Consider the following 25,519-nt stretch of genomic DNA (forward strand, 5'->3'; position numbering starts at 1 on the left):
AGGGATCCGTTTCTAGCAGGGGCCTTTTGGTGCAGCAATGCTGAACCCACTATAGCCAGCATAATTCTGAGCTGCCTACCTGTGTATTTCCAGCTCCATCTGCCACACTGGGGCTCAGAATCAGTAGTTTTCCCTTAGCTGCATCCCTGTGGAATTTCCCAGCTGGGATTAGTTACAGGGGTGAAGGACTGGGCAAACATCCCTCCACCTTCCCAGAGAAAGCAAAGGCTCCAGGGGTCTGCTCAAGGATTTGAGTGAACACTGCAGAGTTGGTGGCTGGAGGTGATAAGGGAAGAAGGGGTAGGATGACAAGATTGACTTGGATCTCAATTTTGGAGCATTGAGGCTCCATGGGCTGGAAGCACAGGCTGAATACAAGAGCACGTTTATTCCTATTAATGCTGTGGTCCATTGTTTGGGATCAAATGATTAACTGCTCAAGAGCAGGATAGGGGAGGCTGGCTGGATTTTTAATTTTGGTTTTGGAGGTGGGAGTAAGACTCATTTGTGACAGGTGTCACCCTTGGCCCCCCGGAAGGATAGGACTGATTCTATCTATGTGACACCCAGGCTGTGGCCTCTCAGTTCTTCCCCTTGAACTATATAGATCCCTCTAGAAGAGTGGCAATCTCTAGAAAAGATAGGGAAATCTTCAGTCACTTGATATCTCCAGATGTAAGCTCTCAGAGCTAGTAAGAGTGGGGCTTCCCAGTCTGAAGTCTGAGTAGCAAGTCCTCTTCTCCCTCCCCCAATACACACACACACACACACACACACACACACACACACACACACACACACAACTTGAGATGGCGGAGTTGAAGGCAAAGCATAGTAGGATGATGATATATATATATATAAAATTTATATATTAATTATATATAAATATAAATATATATATACATATAAATATATATATTTATATATATATTCTGGAGTCTGAGAACCCAAGTATAAATCCTAGCTCTTCTATTTACTATTTTGTGTCTTTGGGCAAATTAGGCAAATTTAATCTGCCCATTCCTAAGCAATTGCAATTATACCTACTTCACAGGGCTTTTATGAGGATTAAATGAGTTGATATCTATAAAGACAGAAGAATGCCTGGGTATAGCCATAATATGTCTTTGTTAAATAATAAAAATGTATAAACTGTTTTATGAGGATAATCTGGAAGTTGTTCTTTGGTCAAATATAATTTTTTTTTTTTGAGGCGGAGTCTCACTCTGTTGCCCAGGCTAGAGTGCAGTGGTGTGATCTCTGCTCACTGGAACCTCCACCTCCTGGGTTCAAGCAATTCTCGTGACTCAGCTTCCTGAGTAGCTGGGATTACAGACTTGTGCCACCACATCGGCTAATTTTTGTATTTGTAGTAGAGATGGGGTTTTGCCATGTTGCCAGGCTGGTCTTGAACCCCTGACCTCCGGTGATCTGCCCGCTTCAGCCTCCTAAAATGCTGGGATTACAGGCATGAGCCACTGCGCCAGGCCTCAAATATACTTTAGTAGCAATACTTCCCTACTAGAAGTTAGAATTAAATTCTGAAGTTATTCAGCATGCAAAGAGTCTAAAACCATTCAGACTGGATAGATATTGTTATGGCTGTTAGGTTACATTAGTAAGTATATATTTTCTAAATGAGAACTGGCAGGACATGGTGGCTCACACCTGTAATTCCAGCATTTTGGGAGGCTTAGGTGGGAGGATCACTTGAGCCCAGGAGTTCACGGCTGCAGTGAGCTATGATGACACCACTACACTGCAGCCTGGGTGACAGAGCAAGACTATCTCTAAGAAAATAAAAAGAGCAATAGGAAAAAGAAGGTGAGATCATAATTACAGTCAGTCCTTCTAAGAGCCTGAGTGATTTGAGGGCTCTTTTTAGTTATACTTAAGTCCTTTGGCCCATGGTCTGACAGCGAATCAAAGCATTTAATTAGAGTCAACATTCCCCTCCTCTCCTCCCTCCCTCCCTCCTTTCTTTTTCTTTCTTTCTTTCTTCCTTACTTTCTTCTTTCTTTCTTTCTTTCTTTCTTTCTTTCTTTCTTTCTTTCTTTCTTTCTTTCTTTTTCTTTCTCTTTCTTTCTTTCTTTCTTTCCTTCTTTCCTTTTTTCTTTCCTTCTTTCCTTCCTTCTCTTTCTCTCTTTCTTCTTTCTCTTCCTTTCTCCCTTTCTCTCTTTTTCTTTTTCTCTTTCTGTCTTCCTTCCTTCTTTCTTTCTTTTTCTTCCTTTCCCTCTCTCTCTCTCTTTCTTTCTTTTTTTTTTTTGTGACAGAGTTTCACTCTGTCATCCAGGCTGGAGTGCAGTGGTGCGATCTCAGCTGACTGCAACCTCCACCTCTCTGATACAAGTGATTCTCCTGCCTCAGCCTCCTGAGTAGTTGGGATTGCAGGTATGCACCACCACGCCAAACTTACATATATATATGTATTTCTTCAGTAGAGATGGGGTTTTGCCATGTTGGCCAGGCTGGTCTCAAATTCTTGACCTCCAGTGATCCACCCACCTAGGCCTCCCAAAGTGCTGGGATTACAGGCGTGAGCCACCGTGCCCGACCGAGAGTCAACATTTCTAATGAAGGCCTCACTCTCTCCCTTAGATAACTGGCATTTTTAAATGCCAGTTAATAAATGTGTCCCTTAACAGTGACCACATTTTGAGATCACAGCCAGTAAATAGATCTTGCTGGCCTCCTATCTTATAGGTCTAGCCTGGAGCATTGAGAACTATACATTCTGTGAGATCTGGAATTTCAGTTGCCGTAGTTGGAAAAGAATGCCAATGTTGGCAATTTAAAATATGACAAATGCAGGCGATTGAAAACAATCGTGGCTGTTAGGCTAAAAGTAGGAGGACACAGAACCCTGACAGCTGGCTTCAAACCACGGGAAGGGCTGTCACAGGGAGGGAAGAAGAGAAAGAACTTTTTTTTTTTTTCGATGCACACTCTTTTTTTTTTTAAGTTATACTTTAAGTTCTCGGGTACATGTGCACAATGTGCAGGTTTGTTACATATGTATACATGTGCCATGTTGGTGTGCTGCACCCGTTAACTCGTTATTTACATTAGGTATATCTCCTAATGCTATCCCTCCCCCCTCCCCCCACCCCACGACAGGCCCCGGTGTGTGATGTTCCCCTTCCTGTGTCCAAGTGTTCTCATTGTTCAATTCCCACCTATGAGTGAGAACATGCGGTTTTCTGTCCTTGAGATAGTTTGCTCAGAATGATTGTTTCCAGCTTCATCCATGTCCCTACAAAGGACATGAACTCATCATTTTTTATGGCTGCATAGTATTCCATGGTGTATATGTGCCACATTTTCTTAATCCAGTCCATCATTGATGGACATTTGGGTTGGTTCCAAGTCTTTGCTATTGTGAATAGTGCCGCAATAAACATATGTGTGCATGTGTCTTTATAGCAGCATGATTTATAATCCTTTGGGTATATGCCCAGTAATGGGATGGCTGGGTCAAATGGTATTTCTAGTTCTAGATCCTTGAGGAATTGCCACACTGTCTTCCACGATAGTTGAACTAGTGAAAGAACACTTACTAAATACTGATGTTTGGGCTTTATGTCTCTTATCTATTTTATATTATATATATTTTTTGAGATGGAGTCTCACTCTTGTCACCCAGGCTGGAGTGCAGTGGTGCCATCTTGGCTCACTGCAACCTCCACCTCCTGGGTTCAAGCAATTCTGCCTCAGCCTCTCGACTAGCTGGGATTACAGGTGTTTGCCGCCATGCCCAGCTAATTTTTGTATTTTTTTTAGTAGAGACAGAGTTTCACCATGTTGTCCAGGCTGATCTTGAACTCCTGACTTCTAGTGATCTGCCCACCTCAGCCTCCCAAAGTGCTGGGATTACAGGCGTGAGCCACCATGCACCCAGCCTCTTATGTAATTAAATGATCACAACAATCCCATGGAAGTCTGCTGTACGATTGCCAGTAAACAGAGGGGGAAGAAGTAAGTGACTTAGTCACCTCCCCTAATTGGCGTGTGCTACAGTCAGCCCAGGAATCCTGGCTGGTCAGATCTTTCAACCTCCTCTCAGCACCACCATAACACGATTGCATTATGTGCATACAAGGCAGAGCTTTCTAAAATTTAGAGCTGGTGGGATGGTGTGGAAATTATGTAGTGGTTTCCTATTCTCAAAGATGTTCGAGCAAATGCTTGATGACTGTTATCAAAAATACTGAATAAGTGGCTCACACCTGTAATCCCAGCACTTTGGGAGGCTGAGGTGGGCAGATCACCTAAGGTCAGGAGTTCAAGACCAGCCGGCCAGCATGGTGGAACCGCATCTCTACTAAAAATACAAAAATTAGCCAGGCATGGTGGCGCCTGTAATCCCAGGTACTTGGGAGGCTGAGGCAGGAGAATCGCTTGAACCTAGGAGGCGGAGGTTGCAGTGAGCCAAGATCACCCCAACCCAGCTTGGGCAACAGAGCAAGACCATGATTGAGGAGAGTGGAAATGGATAATCTATGAAGGCACCTACCAACTTTAATGTTCTGAGTTCTGTACTTTGGGACTGGACATACAGCTATATTAAGTGATTTTTTTTTTGGTCCCCCTGTATTTTCTTTTCTTTTTTTTTTGAAAGGGAGTCTAGCTTTGTCTCCCAGACTGGAGTGCAGTGGCGTGATCTCCGCTCACTGCAATCTCCACCTCCTGGGTTCAAGCGATTTTCCTGCCTCAGCCTCCCTAGTAGCTGGGATTACAGGTGTGCACCATCATGCCCAACTAATTTTTGTATTTTTAGTAGAGACAGGGTTTCACTATGTTGGCCATGCTGGTCTCGAACTTCTGATCTCAAATGATCCACCCGCCTCAGCCTCCAAAAGTGCTGGGATTACACGCATGAGCCACCGCACCCAGCCTCTTTTCTTTTTGAGACATGGCCTTGGTCTGTTGCCCAGGCTGCAGTGCCTTGATGCCGTCACAGCTCACTGTAGTCTCAACCTCCTGGGCTCAAGCGATCCTCCCACATCAGCCTCCTAAGTAGCTGGGACTACAGGCATGCTCCACCCCGCCTGGCTATTTTTTAATTTTTTTATAGAGATGGGGTCTCGCCATGTTTCCCAGGCTAATCTCAAACTCTTGGGCTGAAACAATTGGCCTGCGTTGGTTTCCCAAAGTGCTAGGATTATAGGCATGAACCACCGTGCCTGGCGGTATTATATTTCTTAACACCCAGGTGTGTGAATAGAGACCTCTTTTTTTTTTTTTTGAGATGGAGTCTCGCTCCCATCGCGCAGGCTGGAATGTAGTGGCGCGATCTCGGCTCACTGCAACCTCCACCTCCCAGGTTCAAGCGATTTTCCTTCCTCAGCCTCCCAAGTAGCTGGGATTACAGGCGTGCGCCACCGTGCCCGGCTAATTTTTGTAGTTTTAGTAGAGATGGGGTTTCGTCGTGTTGGCCAGGCTGGTCTTGAATTCCTGACCTCAGGTGATCCACTCGGCCTTCCAAAGTGTTAGGATAACAGGCGTGAGCCCCTGCGCCGGGTCTAGAGACTTCTTCAAAGCTGGGAAGGTACAGGGTGTGCCCTCTGAACAGCAGCAGAGCTTGTTGCAAACCTGAACTTTCTGGTCCTCTGCTGCCCCTTTGTGGACTACCTGGAAACAACAGCCCAATATATCGCTGTAGGAGCATGAAATTGGACTTGGGAGAATAGCACCAGAAGAACTGGTGGAGGTTTGAAGGCTGGTGGAGGATACGAGGGAGTCACGACTGTTCTTTTCTCCAGCAAGGTTGGGGTTCCCAGGAGAGAGGCCTAGAACTCTTTCAAACTGTCAATGACTTCAAGAAACTCTCTTCTTTTTCATGATCTTTATTTATCCTCGAGACGCTTGGATCCAGTAAGCGAGTGACAATTTCAAGACTGCCAGCCATGCACCTCTGTATGTTTTTGGCCCAAGCAGCAGCCGTGGGCCTAGTGCCAACCCTCACACGCTAGCTACCTCCTCCTGTGCTTGGAGTGGAAAGTCTGTGGGGTTCTCTGTCTGGTTCTGCAAGCTTTTCACACCATCTCTTCGCTGTCTGTCTCTATGCTAGGGGTTTCACACAACTCTACACCATTGCATTCATGCTTGCCGTATCCCTGACTTTCTGCACAAGTGCAGGGCAGAGATGGCCCTTTTGTTTTGGTGAGGGAGAGAGGGAAACACTTGGGCACAAAGAGGGGAAGGGACTGTGAATCCCAGGGAGCACCCTGGCCAGATCCCAGCGGTGTTCGAATCCCAGGACCATCTTCCATCTACAGCCTAGCTGCCTCCTTCCCTGGTCAACCCTTCCTGGGTGCCCATCCACCACACTGCCCAACCTCACTCCCCGTCCCCTCCCACAAAGAGTGACAGTGGCCTGGGGCTCGGCCTCTCCTGACCCCAGGGGAGGATGGGTGATCTGGGCCTCCTGCTACCTGCCACCTGGGCCTCCTATCTCCAGCTGGGAGCCAGGGACCTACCCACGGGCCTGGCCTGACCTCTCTCCCCCTCCCCTCATGCTTCCAGACCCTGCCGCAGCCTGCGGTCCAGGGCCAGGAGCTGCCTCAGGAAGCCCCGGTTGGGGATGATGCCTCGGTGGTCTTTGACTTTCTTGATGGCCTCCACGAGGGTAAGGTGGTGGTACAGCATGAGGTAGGCCAGTACCAGGGTGGCGGATCGGCTCACGCCCACAGCACAATGCACCAGGATCTTCCCTGAGAGGAGAGACACAGAGAGAGCTTTGAGACTGCTTGTGGCAGCTTGGAGGAGGCTGGGGAAAGGGTGACATGGGGCCGGGCATGGTGGCTCACGGCGGTAATTCCAGCACTTTTGGAGGCCGAAGGGGGAAGATTGCCTGAGGTCAGGAGTTCGAGACCAGCCTGGCCAACATGGTGAAACCCCATCTCTACTAAAAATACAAAAATCAACTGGGCGTGGTGGCCCATGCCTGTAATCTCAGCTACTCAGGAGGCTGAGGCTGCAGTGAGCCAAGATCGTGTCATTGCACTCCACCCAGGCAACAAAAGTGAAACCCCATCTCAAAAAAAAAAAAAAAAAAAAAAAAAAAGGGTGACATGGACAGGGAAGAGGAAGACAGGTAAGTACAGGTGCATGAAGACAGGAATGGGTGCAGATGAGTGGATGTTAGGAATGCAGATCTCTGGCAAAAGGGGAGAGGCCTGGACAGAATGAGAGGAAGGGGACATGCAGTGGCTCAGTGTCCATAAACCTGAAAGGGGTCAAAGGTGGAGACTCACCACTGATGTAAGAGCCAGCTTTGCATAGAGTAGCGTGAATGAGTCCATTGAAAACACTGTCATTACTGGCCCCTTCCTCAATCTCTCCACCATTCTAGCTTGTTATTCTCAACCATTGAATATATATATATGTATATGGAGACAGGGTCTTGCTCTGCCTCTCAGGCTGAGTGCAGTGGCACAATCATAGCTCACTACAACCTCTAATTCCTGGGCTTAAGAAATCCTCCTGCTGGCTGGGTGCAGTGGCTCATGCCTGTAATTCCAGCACTTTGGGAGGCCGAGGCGGGTGGATCACCTGAGGTCAGGAGTTCAGGACCAGCCTGGCCAACATGGTGAAACCATGTCTCTATTAAAAATACAAAAATTAGCTGGATGTGGTGGCGGACACCTGTAATCTCAGCTACTTGGGAGGCTGAGGCAGGAGAATCGCTTGAACCTGGGAGGCGGAGGTTACAGTGAGCTGAGATCACGTCACTGCACTCCAGCCTGGGTGACAGAGAAAGACTCCATCTCAAAAAAACAAAAAAGAAAAAGTCGATCACATATAATCTTGCCACCCAGGTGTAACTTGCCACTCTTAACATTTTTGATAATTTCCTTCTTGTCTTTTTCTGTATTGCTTTAAAAAAATGGTTGAGATAATATTTTTTTCTTTCTTAACAAGATCCTGAGCATTTTGTCATGTCACTAAAATCTCACTCCACTCTCAGACCCTTGGACTTCCCCAAATTCCAGGCACCCTGTTCTTTCCTGCTCCCAGCATTCCCCTCCTACCTCCTGGCTGGCTCAGCGCCCGGTGGATGAAGTCGGCAGCCGTCTGGAAGTGGATGCTCATGTCAAAGGCTGGCGAGTCGTGGGCCTCAACACCCAGGTAGCGGATGCCCAGCCCCTCATAGGCCTCGGGCGTGCCTCGCCACCGGCTGTGTGAGGCATTGAGGACGTGCGTGATGCCCAGGCGGCGAAGCTCCCGGCGGTTGTTAGCCATGTCCCTGCATTGAGTAGAGGTTAGAGGAAGGGTGGGAAAGCCAGGTTGTTGGGGAAGACTCCCTTGTCTACACCCTGTTAACTTCCTGAATCCTATTGTTGATTTTTTTTTGAGATGGAGTCTCGCTCTGTTTCCTAGGCCAGAGTGCTCACTGCCACCTCCATCTCCTGGGTTCAAACGATTCTCCTGCCTCAGCCTCCCGGGTAGCTGGGATTACAGGCACATGCCACTATACCCGGATAATTTTTGTATCTTTAGTAGAGATGGGGTTTTATCATGTTGGCCAGGCTGGTCTTGAACTCCTGACCTCAAGTTATCCTCCCGCCTCGGCCTTCCAAAGTGCTGGGATGACAGACGTGAGCTACCATGCCTGGCCTCCTGGATCCTACTATTGGCCTAAGGACACTACTTTACTTACTAGTGATCCAGAAGGGAGGAACCAAGATGGGCAATGACTTGGAGTCTTGTCCTGTGAGCCATGGTTGAAGGTATAGGGGATGTTTTGCCTGGAGAAGAGAAGACTAAGGGGATGGGGTAAAAATAGCCATAATAAAACTGAAAGTGTGCGGCCGGGCGCGGTGGCTCACGCCTGTAATCCCAGCACTTTGGGAGGCCGAGGCGGGCGGATCACGAGGTCAGGAGATCAAGACCATCATAGCTAACATGGTGAAACCCCATCTCTACTAAAAATAGAAAAAATTAGCTGGGTGTGGTGGTAGGCGCCTGTAGTCCCAGCTACTCAGGAGGCTGAGGCAGGAGAATGGCCTGAACCTGGGAGGCGGAGCTTGCAGTGAGCCGAGATCGCACCACTGCACTCCAGCCTGGGTGACAGAGCAAGACTCCATCTCAAAAAAAACAAAACAAAACAAAACAAAACTGAAAGTGTGTTTTCTGGAATTGAGATTGTCTTGGATCTGTAGGGTTCTCAAGGGTACAATGAGGATCAAGGAATTAAAGCCCCAGGGAAGCAGATTTCATTTTTTTTTTTTTTGGGAGGTGGGACAGAGTCTTGCTATGTCTCCCAGGCTGAAGTGCAATGGTGCAATCTCAGCTCACTGCAACCTCTGCCTCCCAGGTTCAAGCGAATCTCCTGCCTCAGCCTCCTGAGTAGCTGGGATTACAGGTGCCTGCCACCATGCCCGGCTAATTTTTGTATTTTTAGTAGAGATGGGATTTCATCGTGTTGGCCAAGCTGGTCTCGAACTCCTGACCTTGTGATCCACCTATCTAGGCCTCCCAAAGTGCTGGGATTATAGGCGTGAGCCACTGTGCCTGGCCAGCTGATTTCAATTTCATACAAGGAAGTACATTCTAATGGTGGAGTCTAGCTGAGGAAAGGGTGGAGAACCTCGAGAGAGAGTGGTTTTCCTGTCCCTGGGGTATTCAGGCAGAAAGAGGAGATGGCCATGTAGCCATGGATGCTGCAGAGGGGAAATGAATGTCAGGCAGATTGTTCTGCTCATTTCATCGGTCCTGCTCACTCTGAGATAGTATGGTTCTGACATCCACTTCCACACCTAACTCCCCTATGTCTCTACTCTTGTTGACACCCAGAACCGTCTTGTGTTTTTGCCAGATATTCCATGGCTCACATTTACTGTGACTGTGTTTTTTTTTGTTGTTGTTGTTGTTGTTTGTTTTTTTTTTTGAGATGGTGTCTTGCTCTGTCACCTAGGCTGGAGTGCTAGAGTGCAGTGGCGCGATCTCGGCTCACTGCCACCTCTGCCTCCCGGGTTCAAGCAATTCTCTGCCTCAGCCTCCCGAGTAGCTGGGATTACAGGTGCCCACCACCATGCCAGGCTAATATTTGTATTTTTAGTAGAGACGGGGTTTCACTATCTTGGCCAGGCTGGTCTTGAACTCCTGACCTCGTGATCCATCCGCCTAAGTATCCCAAAGTGCTGGGATTACAGATGTGAGCCACCATGCCCGGCCACATTTACCCTGTTTTATGACGTCACCTTCAGGTGTTCATCCGGCCCAGACCCCTCAGCTTGGTGGCAGACACCCCTGGGCACCACAGTCATATCTCAGGGCAAACTGAGTTGCCCTGTCCAGTGCAAACTCCTTAAGCAGAAAGAGCACTGAACTTGAGCCTCCAAGCCCGGGCTCTGCTACTTACAACCCGTGTGACCTTGGCCAGGCACAACTTCTCTGAGCTTCAGTCTCCTCATCTGTAACCCAGGGAGAGTGATACCTATCTCACAGGGCTGTTGTGAAGATTAAGAGAGATAATGTGTGTGAAAAAAATCCTTGTAGGCCAGGCACGGTGGCTCATGCTTGTAATCCCAGCACTTTGGGAGGCTGAAGCAGGTGGATCACTTGAGGCCAGGAGTTCAAAATCAGCCTGGCCAACATGGCTAGACGCCGTCTCTACTAAAAATACAAAAATCAGCTGTGTGTGGTGATGGGCGTCTGTAAGCCCAGCTACTTGGGAGGCAGAGGCAGGAGAATTGCTTGAACCCGGGAGGCGGAGTTTGCTGTGAGCTGAGATTGGGCTACTGCACTCCAGCCTGGGCAACAGTGAGACCCTGTCTCAAAAACAACAACAATGCTGGGCACGGTGGCTCACACCTATAATCCTAGCACTTTGAGAGGCCGAGACAGGTGGACTGCCTGAGCTCAGGAGCTCAAGACCAGCCTGGGCAACACGGTGAAACCCCGTCTCTACTAAAATACAAAAAAATAATTAGCCGGGCAAGGCGGTGTGTGCCTGTAGTCCCAGCTACTCTGGAGGCTGAGGCAGGAGAATCGCTTGAACCCGGGAGGTGGAGGTTGCAGAGAACCAAGATCGCGCCACTGCACTCCAGCCTGGGTGACAGAGTGATACTGTCTCCAAAAAAAAATAAAAGAAAGAAACCAAAACCAAAACAAACCAAAGAAGCAAAAGAAATCCTTGTATAACTTTGAGGGAGAGAAGTGGGGATGGCTCTTCCTTTGATGTTTTTCTCTCCATAGCCTTCAAATTGCAGAATCTCTGTAGGCACTGCCGCTTTGCTTGGTCTCAAGAGAAACCACTGCAGCTTCCTACCTACTGCTCCTGGCTTCCAGTGGCTGCCTTTTCCCAGAGACATTGCACAATAGATGGAAGGTCAGAGAAGTCATCTATTGTGCCTGGTATGTAGCACTGGCATGTAATAATAAATATGTGATACATGAATGATATTATTACTGGAACAGAGTCTTTCTGTCCAGACTTGGGTATTTTTATTTTATTTATTTTATTTTAAAATAATAAGTAGAGATGGGGTCTGGTTTTGTTGCTCAGGCTGGTCTAGAACTCCTGTACTCTAGATACTCCTGCCTCAGCCTTTCAAACTGCTGGGATCACAGGCAAGAGACACTGTGACTGGCCAGAGTTGGGCATTTCAATAATCCTGGCCAAACTCTCCCAAACCTGCAGCCTCTACTCTTGGCCCATGTGCCCTATCCCCTCAATCTTCAACCAGGAACCAATGACACCACTGCATACCTGTCTGCCACCCTTCTCCTTTCTTACACACACAAACACACACACGCTCTACCGTGGGCCCAGTCTGCCCGATACATACTGGTCTCCGAGATAGAGGCCTGGCCAGACCTCGTCGGCATGGTTACAGGCTGTCTTGCCTGTGTAGAGGAGCCGCTCCAACTCGAAGACATTGAGGAAAGGATGTTGAACGGTTGGCATCTCCTCCAGGGTCCCTCGAGTTCGAACAGGAGACCTTGAGCTACTCCGGGAGAAGCGGGCCATAAAAGTCATAGAAGCCCAAAGCCAGTTACCAGGGCACATCTTAGAGGTGGCAGAAACCGTGGCAGCTGCAGGAGTGGCTGTGGTGATGATGGGTTCAGTTGCCAGGTAGCTGCTGCTGGAAGAGGAAGGGGTGTGAGACACACTTGAGTGAGTCCAGAGCAGCTGCTTCCCTTCCCTGGGCTGGTCCTTCGGGAGAAGATTCTCGAGGGAGAGAAGGTAAGCCTGGCTCTGGCAGGAGCCTTCAGGGGTGGCTTTTTCTTCAAGCTGCAGCAGCTCCTTTTGCTCAGCTCTTTGGCTCTGCCACGAAACGAGGTGGGAGAGTCACATGTCCTTGTTTACGGGGAGAGGGAGCTGCCCAGCTGCTAGGTTTCAGCTTCATCACCCCACCCCCACTGCCAGCACGCATACACACACACACACACACACACACACACGGCACTTGGGTGGTTGTCCCCACTGCTGGGGATCTTGCCAGCTGGAATCTGAGTCTCATCTGCCTGGGGCTATCGGCAGAGAGCCTAGGGAGCTGGGATGGGGTTGGGGGTACCTTTAGACCCATCCAAAGAGAATTAGCAGGGAGACAACAGCAGCTGAGGCCATGACACATGTCAGGCCTGCCATCTCTGTGCCAGAGTTAGACTTTAACCCCTTCGTGACCTGCCACTGCCTCAGAGATAAACCTGCTATGGGAAGGGTGTGGTGGGGGTGGGATGGGGTGAGTGGAGAATAGCAATAAAGAGGAAGAGTAAGTTTGCAAAAAATAAATACTTGCTGAATGCATGAGCTTATGGAAGAAGGCACCAATCTATGTGCACAACAGGCAAACCACCCTCCTTGGATCAGCATTAGGAAATTACTGATCAGATCTCAGCTCTAATGTGAGAATTTCTGAATCTAAGCAGGGTTGGAGTGTTTTGTCTGTGTGTGTCTTGAGGGGAGGGTGACAGAGGTGGATGGTGGGGGAATTGACGCAGGGTTGGAGTGTTTTGTCTGTGTGTGTCTTGAGGGGAGGGGGGACAGGGGTGGGTGGTGGGGGCCTAGAAAGCAGGAAGGAAAGGGAAAAATGAGGGATCCTGCCAGGTCCAGGGGCTCAGAGGCTTAGAATTACCAACCGTATGGCTGTTGGAGTCAAGTGACCCTACAAAACACGAGGTCAATAACGAGGGGCTTAGCAGGTGTGTCTCAGATTACCTGTTGAGCTGCAGAGCTGGGAAGGACCAGCGTTTGAGGCTTGCCCTGGGACCTTCAGGCAGGGAGGCAACAATGGCAAGGCCCCTTCCCCCTCCCTCCCCATCCTCTCACACCTGTGGTCCTGCCTGTTTGAAAGCAGGAGGTCCTGGAGCCTGCAGAATCCCCTTCCACTCCCTTCCTGGCCTCCTGCCAGGGGGACTTCAACTCTATGACCAGCAGTGAGAGGCCATCTTTGTCCCTGCCCATGCTCTGTCCCCATCTCACACCCCTAGACAGGGCCCAGCTCTCCCTTGCTCCAGTGCCAAGAGAAACCAAGCACTTACAAGGCATTAGAAGCAGGGGTTTTAGGACCAGGATTGGTGAGGGAAGATTGGATGTTAGGGAGTTTAGGGAGAGAGAGTTTTCAATGGCTGGGTCCGGAAGGAGCACAGAAATATAGCACTACAGCCATCATCACCACCACCATCACCATCATCACTACCACCATCACCACCATCACTATCACCATCATCTTCTTCTACCTTTGCACCCAGGCCTAAAGACCCCATTACTGTATTGCAATACAACCTTTCCTCTTAGAGAGTCTGCTGTCTACGAGATGATGAATGGGATGGGGGAAGCGTGAAGGAGCCCAGGTCTAAGAAGGATCTCCGTGGGGCTGTTTTTCCCGGGGGATGCAGAAGCCCCTTTCTGTCCAGGGATACAGCCCTGGGCATTCTCCAATCCCATCCGTCGGCTCCAGGGGCCCTGGCCCGCCGCTCCCTCCCTCCGCCTGCGGTCGCCTTTGTAACAGGTCCATGGCTGTCGCCCCAGTCCTCGCCAGCCTGGCAGCCGGGCCCCGCGCGCGGAGGGAGGGCGCCCGGGAGAGAGAGGCTGGCTCGCTGGGCTCGGGTGCCCGCTTCCCGGTCCCCTCCCTCCCCCGTCGCCCCTAGCTGGGCGCCTCTCCCCAGCGTGGAGAGCCAGCTGAAAAGGCGAAGGCCCGCCGCAGCCCCTCTACCTCTTTGCAAGCGCTGCGCTGGGCCTCAGTCCGAAAGGCGGATCGCCGGCGCAGACAGCGCCACGGCCATGACGCTCCTGCTGCTGTCGCCGCCGCTGTTTCTGCCCAAGACAGGTTGACAGATTAGCAGCTATTTTTAAGCCATGACACACACGTCGAAGCAGGGTTCAAATCAGCGTGTGCGCTGGTGACATAAAGGGACTCGGTCTCACATTCGGTGGCCCGAGTCGCCAGGCAGCGTGGGCTCCCCAGCCAACCCCCCACGAGCCCGCGCGCCTTGCAGACCAGACACGGCCCCGCCGAGCCCCAGCAGCACCGCCTGGAATGCATGCGTGTGTTCTCAGAGCTGCACCAATTACAAAGCGTTTTGCCTAAAGATTACATTATAAGTCATCCCAGGCACTGTCTTAAACACACACACTCCTCCCAGACAGAATTAACTAATTACATAGACACGATTCTGTGCACTGGCTTGTACATGCCTCGGTCTCAAGAAACCGTGTCATAAAGAACAATGGTCCGAAGCCCCCATTAGCCTTCATTATATGCCATGTGCTTCATTTAGCTTAAGGCATTTTATACTCCCCACAAGTCTATGAGGGAGACATAATTACTATTGTCCTAATTTTAGGGAGGAGGCGACCTAGGCACAGAGAGGCTAGGTACTCTGCCCTGGTCACACAGCTCGTTACTGGCAGAGCTGAGCTTGTTCAAACAATGCAGCCTGGCTTTGCAGTTTATGTCCTTAACCACTCTCTAAACCAGTGCCTCCCACAAAATGGAGAAGGCACCATGGATTTCCTTCATTCAGGAAGCCATTTCCACCAGCTCAGCTCATAGTGAACTTCACTTTCCCCAGACTCTCAAAACATTCATCTTCATATTTCTTTCTTTCTTTTTTGAGATGCAGTCCCACTCTGTCGCCCAGGCTGGAGTGCAGTGGCGCAATCTTGGCTCATTGTAACCCGCCTCCCAGGTTCAAGCCATTCTCCTGCCTCAGCTTCCCAAGTAGCTGGGATTACAGGCGCCCGCCTCCATGCCTGGCTAATTTTTTGTATATATTTTTTCTTTGTTTGTTTGTTTTTTAGTACAGATGGGGTTTCACCATGTTGACCAGGCTGGTCTTGAACTCCTGACCTCAGGTGATCCACCCACCTTCTCTCAAAGTGCTCAGATTACAGGCATGAGCCACTGTGTCCGGCCATCTTCATATTAATTTCTCATGTGCTGCCTTCTAGTGACATATTCACTTGATCGGCATTTTTATTGTAAGCACCAAGATTGTAAGCACTTTGAAGGCAGGGACTGTGCTACCTTCCCCAGTGCCTACCTTATTGTGTGAGAGGGAAGTGGGGGAGATGATAAATGTTAGCAGATGATGCTGTTGAGAACTAGGCTGGCTTGAACTCTCGCTGTCTACTAGAAGAAAGGCAGAAAGTAGATTGGCTCAGATTGAAGCTGATGGTGTCAGCTATAGCTGAAACCAGGACTGACTCCATTCCCAGCAGTGGTGGCAGATCAGGTTTTGATCTCTGGGTTAGAGAAAGTACTGGCCAATGTGACCAATCCCCAGGTTCCATGACAGGCTGCCATCCAAGTTTAATGTACCGCCTAGCCTTTTTTTTTCTCTAGAGAAACAAAATTCTTTTCACTTTTCCTTGTCCCTTGTGTTACAGCAGTTTAAATATGAAATGAAATCCTTGTCATTTAAAACAAAGAGGCAGGGCATGGTGGCTCACACCTGTAATCCCAGCACTTTGGGAGGCCAGGGTGGGCAGATCACCTGAGGTCAGGAGTTCGAGACCAGCCTGGCCAACATGGTGAAACCCCATCTCTACTAAAAAACAAAAATTAGCCGGGTGTGGTGGCAGGCGCCTGTAGTCCCAGCTACTTGGGAAGCTGAGGTGGGAGAATCACTTGAACATGGAAGGTGGAGGTTGTAATGAGCTGAGATCATGCCACTGCACTCCAGCCTGAGCGACAGAGCGAGGCTCCCTCTCAACAAACAAACAAAAGCGAAAATAAACAATCAAACAAACAACAAAAAACCCCAAGGAATTGACCTGAGAAATTTGAGATTTTAATTTGCGCATCCAAATTAAAATTTGGATTTAATTTGCAAACCTAGTTAAAACATTATCATAAAAGGAATTGTGAAAGAGCACTTACAAGATCAATATCTTTTTTTTGTTTGTTTGTTTGAGACGGAGTTTTGCTCTTTTTGCCCAGGCTGGAGTGCAATGGTGCAATGTCAGCTCACCGCAACCTCCACCTCCCGGGTTCAAGCGATTCTCCTGCCTCAGCCTCTCAAGTAGCTGGGATTACAGGCATGTGCCACCATGCCTGGCTAATTTGGTATTTTTTAGTAGAGACAGGGTTTCTCCATGTTGGCCAAGCTGGTCTCGAACTCCCGACCTCAGGTGAAGATCAATGTCATTTTAAGTGAAAAGTCTTCAAGATTGGTAGGTTGAGAGGATGTTGTAGGTAAAGCTGATCTCAATCTTTGACAAGACCTCTGTTTCAACCCTGCATTACACTTTTTTCAAAAAGCGGGGAAAATACAGTTTAAAGTACACCACAGACAATGTGTACAGCTGTTTATGGGTAATTATAGAAATTACCTGGGGACTGACATATCCGTGAGGATCATTTTCATGAGTCGATCTATAGCCCACTTGATTTCTTTTGTTTTGTTTTGTTTTGTTTTTTTGTTTGTTTTTTTGATTTTTTTTTGAGGCAGGGTCTCAGGCTGGAGTGCAGTGGTAAAATCATAGCTCACTGCAGCCTCAACCTCCTGGGCTTAAACCATCCTCTTTTAAACGATCCTCTTGCCTCAGCCTCCTAAGTAGCTGGGACTATACAGGTGCATGCCACAATGCCTGGCGATTTTTTTTTCTTTTTTTTTTTTTTAAGACAGAGTCTTGCTCTGTCTCCTAGGCTGGAGTGCAGTGGTGTGATCTTGGCTCACTGCAACTGCTGCCTCCCCAGTTCAAGCAATTCTTGTGTGTCGCCTCCTGAGTAGCTGGGATGACAAGTGCATGCCACCACACCTGGCTAATTTTTGTATTTTTTGTAGAGATTAGGTTTCACCATGTTGGCCAGGCTGGTCTCAAGCTCCTGACCTCAGGTGGTCTGCCCGCCTCAGCCTCCCAAAGTGCTGGGATTATAGGCCAGAGCCACCATGCCCTGCCAATCAGCTCATTTTATCTCACCCATATATTAAATTGGTGTCATCATTCTGATTGAATACCTGAGAGAGACTGACATTTGGTCAGATTAGTTAACTCATCCACATCTAGTGTGTGGCAGGACACAGGTTCAAACCCAGGGCTATCTTATTTGAAACTTCAGTGTTTCAAGACTAGGCTGGAGAATCGTTTCCTCTGTAAAGCCTTTTTGGATTCACTCTTTTTTTTTTTCGAGACCAAGTCTTGCTCTGTTGCCCAGGCTGGAGTGCAGTGGCATGATCTCAGCTCACTGCAACCTCTGCCTCCTGGGTTCAAGCAATTCTCCTGCCTCATCCTCCTGAGTAGCTGGAATTATAGGCATGCACCACCATGCCCAGCTAACTTTTTGTATTTTTAGTAGAGACGGGGTTTCACCAAGTTGGCCAGGTTGGTCTCGGGCTCCTGACCTCATGATCTACTTGCCTCAGCCTCCCAAAGTGCTGGGATTATAGGTGTGAGCCACCGTGCCCGGCCTGGATCCACTCTTTTTTTTGTTTGTTTTTTGAGATGAAGTCTTGCTCTGTCACCCAGGCTGGAGTGCAGTGGCTCAGTCTCAGCTCACTGCAACCTCCACCTCTCGGATTCAAGCAGTTCTCCTGCATCAGCCTCCCAAGTAGCTGGGATATAAGAGTGTGCCACCGTGCCTGGCTAAATTTTGTATTTTTAGTAGAGACAGGATTTCGCCATCTTGGCCAAGCTGGTCTCAAACTCCTGACCTCAAGTGATCTGCCTGCCTCGGCCTCCCAAAGTGCTGGGATTACAGGCATGAGCCACTGTGCCCAGCCTGGATCCACTCTTATTTGTCCGTTTCCTTCTTTGTGCTCATATACACTTCCATCAAAGGACCTATGAGCTATATTTGTTTCACTTATTTATACACTTATTTAAATTCATATTGCCCGTACTAGAAGCACGAATGGATACACTATGCTGGGATGAAGAGATTAGAGATGGAAAAATAAGGCTATGGAAAGATAAAGATAGGGCCAGGAACTGCAGCTCGTATGCCTGTAATCCCAACACTTTGGCGGACCGAGGTGGGAGGATTTCATGAAGCCAGGAGTTGGAGACCAGCCTAGGGAACATAGTGAGACCATGACTCTACAAAAAATAAAGAATTAGCTGGCCATGGTGGCAAGCACCTGTAGTCCTAGCTACTCAGGAGGGTGAGGTGGGAAGATCGCTGGAGCCCAGGAGTTTGAGGCTGCCGTGAGTCATGATTGTGCCACTGCACTCCAGCCTGGGTGACTCAAAAAAAAAAAAAAGACAAAAATAGATTTCAAAATAGTTCTGAAAGAAATGATTAAATAAATATACAGACAGGGAGGTGTTCAAAAATAGAATGTGGGAAAAAAGAAAAAACAAGAATGACCATCAAAATATGGCATATGTTAAAGGTCAATTCTAACTGCTACCATTTAATTATGGGCTGGGCTTTACATACATTAGCGAATTCAATCCCATAAATAGATTTAATTAATTCAATTTTACTGTTGAGGAAACAGGTTTAGAGTGCTGGTGGTAAATCCGCTCTGAGGCCAGAGAGCTAATGAGTAGAATTTGAGCATGGATTTCAACCTAGAACTATTTTAAACCAAAGCCTGTGCCTCAAACCACTGTAGTAGACTTAAAGAAAATAGAAGAGTAGTTGTTAAAATGTATCAAGTCCTGCTGCGTGCCAGGCATTTAACAGAAATGGCATGAATCATTCTCAAGCGACTCTCCTGGCTTTGTCCCTTCGGGGATGTGGCTCCCCGTGGCAGGATCTGCGAGGTGCGATGCGTACAGAAGGTTGGGACCAGCAGCCTCTTCAATCTCTGGAGAAGCTCCCTGCTGCTCTGTAATTCTTCCTCCTAAGTAGAGGATAGCGCTTCCTCCCAACCACACACCAGATACCGCCATGCCCATCCCTCCTGGGCTGGTGCACCCTGAAATCTGCTGCTGGGTGAAACAGCACTTTCACTTAATGCTTCAGATAGCAGAGGACCGACAGCTGTGACTTTATTTGGTGATGGAATAAATAAGGTGAGGGGGACGAGGGGCACAGAATGTTCTTCAAGGGTGCCCATTTTCATAATGTTATTTTTCTAAATCTGCATCTTCCCAGTCCCAAACCTTCTTCAGCTTTTTTTTGTTGACTGTTTAACTCCTGCTTTCCTCCACGTCCTTGCGTGTGCTTTGTGTCAGTTCTTTCAGGTACCAAGCGGGTGGTGGTGTTAGTGGGGCTCTTGCTGGCTCTGAACTGGGGAGAGAGGCACGCTGGTCTTTTGCGTAGAGTGAGAATCTGGTTTTGCTTCAACTCCACTTCTGTCCTTCACCTTTCCACCAATGCATTCCCCTCCATTTTCCTACTGATTTACCTGGGGGTGAAACCATCTTAACACTGTTAATATTAAATATTAACTTTCTTCTAAGGACCACACACTGTTGCAAGAGCAGAAATTCTTTCCATTAGCATAACTTTGTAAGGGACACTAGTGCTCCTCTAATGGTAATAAAGTAGAATTATTATTTGCAAAACAGGATACAAAACGAATATACAGTAAATCTCAGTATTGCAACAACAAGGAGATAGAAAAAAAATTCCTAAATACACATCTTGAGAAAGACTGAAAAGAAGCATGTCAAATACTAAAAGAGGTAAACTGTAGCCAGAACAGGATTTCAGATAATTTTGTTTGTTTTCAGATAGGGACTTGCTCTGGCACCCAGGCTAGAGTGCAGTGGTGCAATCCTGGCTCACTGCATCCTCAATCTCCTGGGCTCAAAGGATCCTCTTGCCTCAGGCTCCCAAATAGCTGGGATTACAGGGAGGCACCACCACACCCAGTTATTATTATTATGATTTTTTGTATAGATGGGGTCTCTCTATGTTGCCCAGGCTGGTCTTGAACTCCTGGCTTCAAGTGACCTTCCTACCTTGGCCTCCCAAATTGCTGGGATTATAGGTGGGAGCCACCATGCTTGGCTAGATTTCAGATAATTTTTTTTTTTTTTGAGACTGGGTCTTACTTTGTCACTCAGGTTGGAATGCAGTGGCATAATCTTGGCTCACTGCAGCCTCGACCTCCCAGGCTCAAGCGATCTTCCTGCCTCAGCCCCCCAAGTAGCTGGGATTACAGGTGCTTGCCACCATGCCCAGCTAAGTTTTATATTTTTTGTAGAGATGGGGGTCTGGCCTTGTTGCCCAGGCTGGCCTCGAACTTCTGAGCTCAAGGGATCTGCCCACCTTGGCCTTCCAAAGTGCTGGAATTACAGGTGTGAGCCACCACACCCCACCTCAGACCATTTCTAATCTTGTCCTTTAAATTGTCTATATTTCCCAAATTCTCTGCAATCAGTACGAATTAATTTTTTTTTTTTTTTTTGAGATGGAGTCTCGCTCTGTCACCCAGGGTGGAGTGCAGTGGCACAATCTTGGCTCACTGCAAACTCCGCCTCCCGGGTTGATGCCATTCTCCTGCCTCAGTCTCCCGAGTAGCTGGGACTACAGGTGCCCGCCACCATGCCCAGCTAATTTTTTGTATTTTTAGTAGAGAAGGGGTTTCACTGTGTTAGTCAGCATGGTCTCAATCTCCTGACCTCGTGATCCACCTGCCTCGGCCTCCCAAAGTGCTGGGATTATAGACGTGAGCCACTGTGCCTGGCCATGAATTAATTTTAAAATGTCAGTTTCATGAAATTGGTTGAGACTTTTTTAGTGGCTTCTTATGTGGCCAATTTTAGTAAATGTTCCATACATGCTTGAAAAGAATATATCATTCCTGTTTTGGGATGCAGATTTCTATCTTTATCTCCCTTCTGTGTAAGTCTTTATTTTTATTATTTATTTTTTATTTTTTGAGATAGACTCTCACTCTGTCTCCCAGGCTGGAGTGCAGTGGTGCGATCCCAGCTCACTGCCACCTCCGCCTCCCAGGTTCAAGCGATTCTCCTGCCTTAGCCTCCTGAGTAGTTGGGACTACAGGCAGGTGCCACCACACCTGGCTAATTTTTGCATTTTTAGTAGAGATGGGGTTTCATCGTGTTGGCCAGACTCGTCTCAAACTTCTGACCTCAGGTGATCTGCCTGCCTCGGCCTCCCAAAGTGCTGGGATTACAGGCATGAGCCACCTCACCCAGCCCCAGATGGTTGAAACTTACATACCCTCTTCATAGGGGAGAGGGAGGTGGGGGAAATGTGAGCAATTGTGAAGAGTAGTAAATAATTTTCAGGGGAAATGAATGGGTCCAAAGAGCAGACAATAGTTTTAAAATGATTGGGTGAGTAAACTGAATGGGATTGGTAAGTTATGGAAAGGTGAGGGGTGGAACTACACTGTGATCAAAGGTTGTCTTATTATGCAGGTAAAGTCTCTTAGGTAATCTCTCAGAGCTGCCCTCAGAAGAATAGACGAGAAGTCTGTCTGAGAGTGGTGATGACTTTTATTCTTGTTTCTTCTCTTGTCTCTTCTCTTCTGGTTAATCTTTCCTGGTTATTTGATGAGATTCTTAGGGAGGGGGTCTTAAGACAATTGCATTTTTTTTGGAAAATATCATCTTATTCAGATAAGAAAATTTCTGAGAGACTCTCCCTGTGCTGGAGGGTGGGTTGGGGGGCAATAAGAGAGGGTTAGGAAGTCCTTTGTTCTGAGGCAGCTCCTGAGGCCTTCTAATTTCCTTTAATTCAAAAGTGCTCAGCATGCCAAAGCACCACACTTTGGGGTATTGTTCTCTGCACCTCTCTTTCTTTCTTTCTTTCTTTCTTTCTTTTCTTTCTTTTCTTTCTTTCTTTCTCTTTCTTTTTCTTTCTTTTTTTCTTTCTTCTTTCTTTCTTCCTTTTTCTGTTTCTTTCTTTCTCCCTTCCATCCTTCCTTCCTTCCCTTCCTTCCTTCCCTTCTTTCCTTCCTTCCTTCCTTCTTCCTCCCTCCCTCCCTCCTCCCTCCTCTCTTCCTTCCCTTCCTTCCTTTTCCTTCTCCTTCCTTCCTTCCTTCCTTCCTTCCTTCCTTCCTTCCTTCCTTCCTTCCTTCCTCCATTCCCTCTCTCTCTTTCTCTTTTTGGAGACAAGGTCTTGCTTTGTCATCCAGGCTGGAGTGCAGTAACACAATCTTGGCTCACTGCAGCCTTGACCTCCCAGGCTTAAGCAATCCTCTTGCCTCAGACCCCACAAGTAGCTGGTACTACAAGTGACCAGCTATATATATTTCTTTCTTTTTTTTTTTTTAGATTTTATAGAGGCATGGTCTTGCTTTGTTGCCTGGGCTGGTGGCCTCAAGCTATCCTCCTGTCCTGGCCTCCCAAAATATTGGGATTACAGGCATAAGCCACCATGCTCAGCCACCTATTTTTTCTTATATAACTATATCATAATTTTGTTATATAAATATTCAGTGTTTAGAATATTAAAAACTATACAATTGTTATTCACAGTTGAATCATGTCATATGCCATGATTTCTTCTCCTGCATAATGTTCTGTCTTCCCATCAGTAAATAATTATTTTTTGTTTGTTCGCTTAATTTTCAATGAATGTCTCAGTAATTCAGCCCCCATATTCTTTCCCAATTGCTTAAATGTTTTCTTGGTAAATATAGTTGTTTTCTTAATATCATTTTTTTCATTAAGTCCTTTCTGGAGCCTTCTGACTTACCCTCATCTGGACTGGTTGCCGTCTACACTAGTATAAAGCTTGATCACCCTGGAGATTAGAATCTTTTACTCTCATGCCGGGAATTCTTTTTGCCTCTGAATGTCCTGTTTCCTGGGCCTTCTCTGGTTTTTATTTTTAAGTTTTTATTTATTTATCTTTTGGGGTATCCTGCTTTAGAATAACATTATGCTCAAATATGCCTAGTATCCCCCTAATCAAGAGATCCTTTGTTTTACTTTTTCAAAGAATAAACCTACAATCATATGCTGGTGTAGGGCAGGAACAGTTGCCTGACTGGGCAGTGATTAGAGATCTGGGGGTTTAATTTAAACAGATTTGCAGATAAGTCTGGGCTACACATCCTTATATGTGCTTCCAGAGGTAACACTGTCGCCAGTTCCTGAGCCTTTTGGATATGTCTGTGGTGTAAATCACATTGATTGTCAATATTCCCCAAGTGACTTTCTTTTTGCTTTTCAGCCTCCAACATTTTGTTGCTATTAAAAGATTTTCTGTTCTTTTCATTCTCATGGAATATATATATGCACATACATTTATATATGTATAAATATATATGGATAAATATATGTATATATAGATACTTATATCTGTCTATATAAAATCTACTGTCATTTTTATGAAGTTTCAGGAAGAAACAGAATTAAATGCTTGCTTTTAATATGCTATCTTCAACTGGGAGAGCCAGCTGGTTTCTGAAAACACTCAAAAAATGATGGCTATTCTAACTTTTTTCCCACTCAGTATTTATTTAGATTTACCAGCATTTTTAAAGAATTCTTTGGCATTTTTATATATATCTTTATACTGTTCATTCCTTGTAGGTTTATTTTCTTATTTAGTAGTTCTTTTTGTAAAGGACTGTTGTTAGTAAATTCTTAAGTGCTTGAATATCTATAAATTTTAAATTTTTTCTGACTTGTGAATGACATTTTGCTGGAGTTTAGAAATTTGGGCTCCCAATTATGTTTTTCAGCACATCAAAGATGTTACCTCATTGTTTTCCGCATTTATTTTTGCCAATGAGAAGTCTTTTCTTCTGGGGTTCTTACCATTTCTTTGTTGTAATCTGCCTTCCCTTTATGTTGGCTGTAGAATTTTCTCATTGTCCTTGTGGAATGCTGGCTTCCCAAGTATCATCAGGATAACCTTTTAATATCACAAAGCTGAGTTTATTGTTTATCACAGTAAGTGAGAATGCTAACTTTGCAGATAGCAACTCTCAGAAGGAATTGCAAGATCTGATTTATTGATATTTTGAAGTTTGGTTTAGGATGGGTCTTTCAATGCACAGACTTCATTAGAATTGAGTAATTATCATCGTACAATAGTTTAGAATTTGTAGAAACAGCAAGGTAAGAATTTTGAGAAGAGGAGCTCAAAGAGTCTTGGGATATAAACTGTATACTGATGCTTTTTGGAGTTGCTGGATCTTTTGATAATTTTTTACAGTGAACGAGAAAGTTATTTGCAACTTTCACCTTCTTGGACAAGTCTCTTGGGGTAGCAAAGTTATGCAAATGAAGACAATGGAATGGTAAAGTCCTGTTAAAGCAGACAGCAAACTATGTAGGGGTAGATAGTTTTGTTTTTTATTTTTCTCCTTTTTACCATTTTTCATTCTGAGCTGAAGGATAGACCATTAGTATTTGGGATTTGATCAATCCAGGTCCTTGCTGATTTGAGGCATCACAATTATGTATCAAGTTTATGGGAATGGCTTGTTCAATCTCCAAGATTCCAAAGGTACATGTTTCAACCTCCATTAGCATAAGGTTTTCCTGCTGTTTTTTTGGATGATTATTTGTTGAATTATTAGTTGGGACAGCTATTGCACCTCAGCATTTAAGACTGTGGAGATCACCATCTGAACACTGCAACACAGACAAATGTACTAAACAAAGGATCATATTCAGAGTTTGTCTTCTACTTCTCAACCAGGAGCCAAGTGTGCCCAAAGTAAATCAAGACCACAGATCACATCCCTAGTCTGAGGATCCCACAAAATCAAATTTGGTATTATTAGCCAAATTACCTAATTTTTCTGAAAATATTGACTATTATAGGAAAGATTCCAGAGGTCTGTAGGGCAGTAAGTACAACATTCTTCCCCTAAAAGAATAACTATTTCTTATGAGAGGTCAATATTAAATCTGAGTCATCTTCATTTTGCACCCCTGCCTGTTCAATTTCTCTCTTTTTTTTTTTTTCTTGAGGCAGAGTCTCACTGTGTCACCCAGGATTGGCTCGCTGCATCACCCAGGATCGGCCCACTGCAACCTCCACCTTCCAGGTTCAAACGATTCTTCTGCCTCTGCCTTTTGAGTAGCTGGGATTACAGGCACGAGCCACCATGCCCAGCTAATTTTTGTATTTTTAGTAGAGCCGGGCTTTCACCACGTTGGCCAGGCTGGTCTTGAACTCCCGATCTCAGATGATCTACCAACCTTGGCCACCCAAAGTGCTGGGTTTACAGGTGT

The 25,519-nt window shown here is 46.7% G+C and overlaps 1 protein-coding gene across 3 annotated transcripts, besides 1 other annotated feature; it reads right to left on the bottom strand.

Moving 5' to 3' along the window:
* Window positions 1–5,830: 5,830 nt before the first annotated feature.
* Window positions 5,831–14,524, bottom strand: DUSP26 (dual specificity phosphatase 26). Of its 3 annotated transcripts, none has more exons than NM_001305115.2 (4): window positions 14,166–14,524; window positions 11,796–12,089; window positions 8,034–8,248; window positions 5,831–6,713 (listed from the first exon to the last, which is right to left on the bottom strand). In NM_001305115.2, the coding sequence occupies exons 2-4, from the start codon at window positions 12,014–12,016 to the stop codon at window positions 6,514–6,516; spliced, it is 636 nt and encodes a 211-aa protein (NP_001292044.1). In that variant the 5' UTR covers window positions 12,017–12,089; window positions 14,166–14,524; the 3' UTR covers window positions 5,831–6,513. The 3 variants fall into 3 exon arrangements, with proteins under 3 accessions (NP_001292044.1, NP_076930.1, NP_001292045.1); NM_024025.3 differs by having other exon boundaries at window positions 11,796–12,092; NM_001305116.2 differs by lacking the exon at window positions 14,166–14,524 and having other exon boundaries at window positions 11,796–12,260.
* Window positions 12,190–12,690: an enhancer, noted in NCBI's record as "H3K4me1 hESC enhancer chr8:33455207-33455707 (GRCh37/hg19 assembly coordinates)". NCBI's record gives its function as "activates a minimal SCP1, AML or CMV promoter by ChIP-STARR-seq in naive H9 embryonic stem cells {active_cell/tissue: H9 hESC(naive)}" and the evidence as "EXISTENCE:reporter gene assay evidence [ECO:0000049][PMID:30033119]".
* Window positions 14,525–25,519: the final 10,995 nt, after the last annotated feature.

The sequence above is a fragment of the Homo sapiens genome, chromosome 8 (assembly GCF_000001405.40).
Source record: "Homo sapiens chromosome 8, GRCh38.p14 Primary Assembly".
NCBI lineage: Eukaryota > Metazoa > Chordata > Mammalia > Primates > Hominidae > Homo > Homo sapiens.

What these genes read in the sequence shown, in the direction of transcription:
- DUSP26 (NM_001305115.2), bottom strand. Translation starts at nt 12,016, where the DNA reads ATGTGCCCTGGTAACTGGCTTTGGGCTTCTATGACTTTTATGGCCCGC. An exon ending in GGCCTCTATCTCGGAGACCA is followed by an intron (nt 8,249 to 11,795) that starts GTATGTATCGGG and finishes TACTCAATGCAG; the next exon opens with GGACATGGCTAACAACCGCC. An exon ending in GGCGCTGAGCCAGCCAGGAG is followed by an intron (nt 6,714 to 8,033) that starts GTAGGAGGGGAA and finishes CTCTCCTCTCAG; the next exon opens with GGAAGATCCTGGTGCATTGT.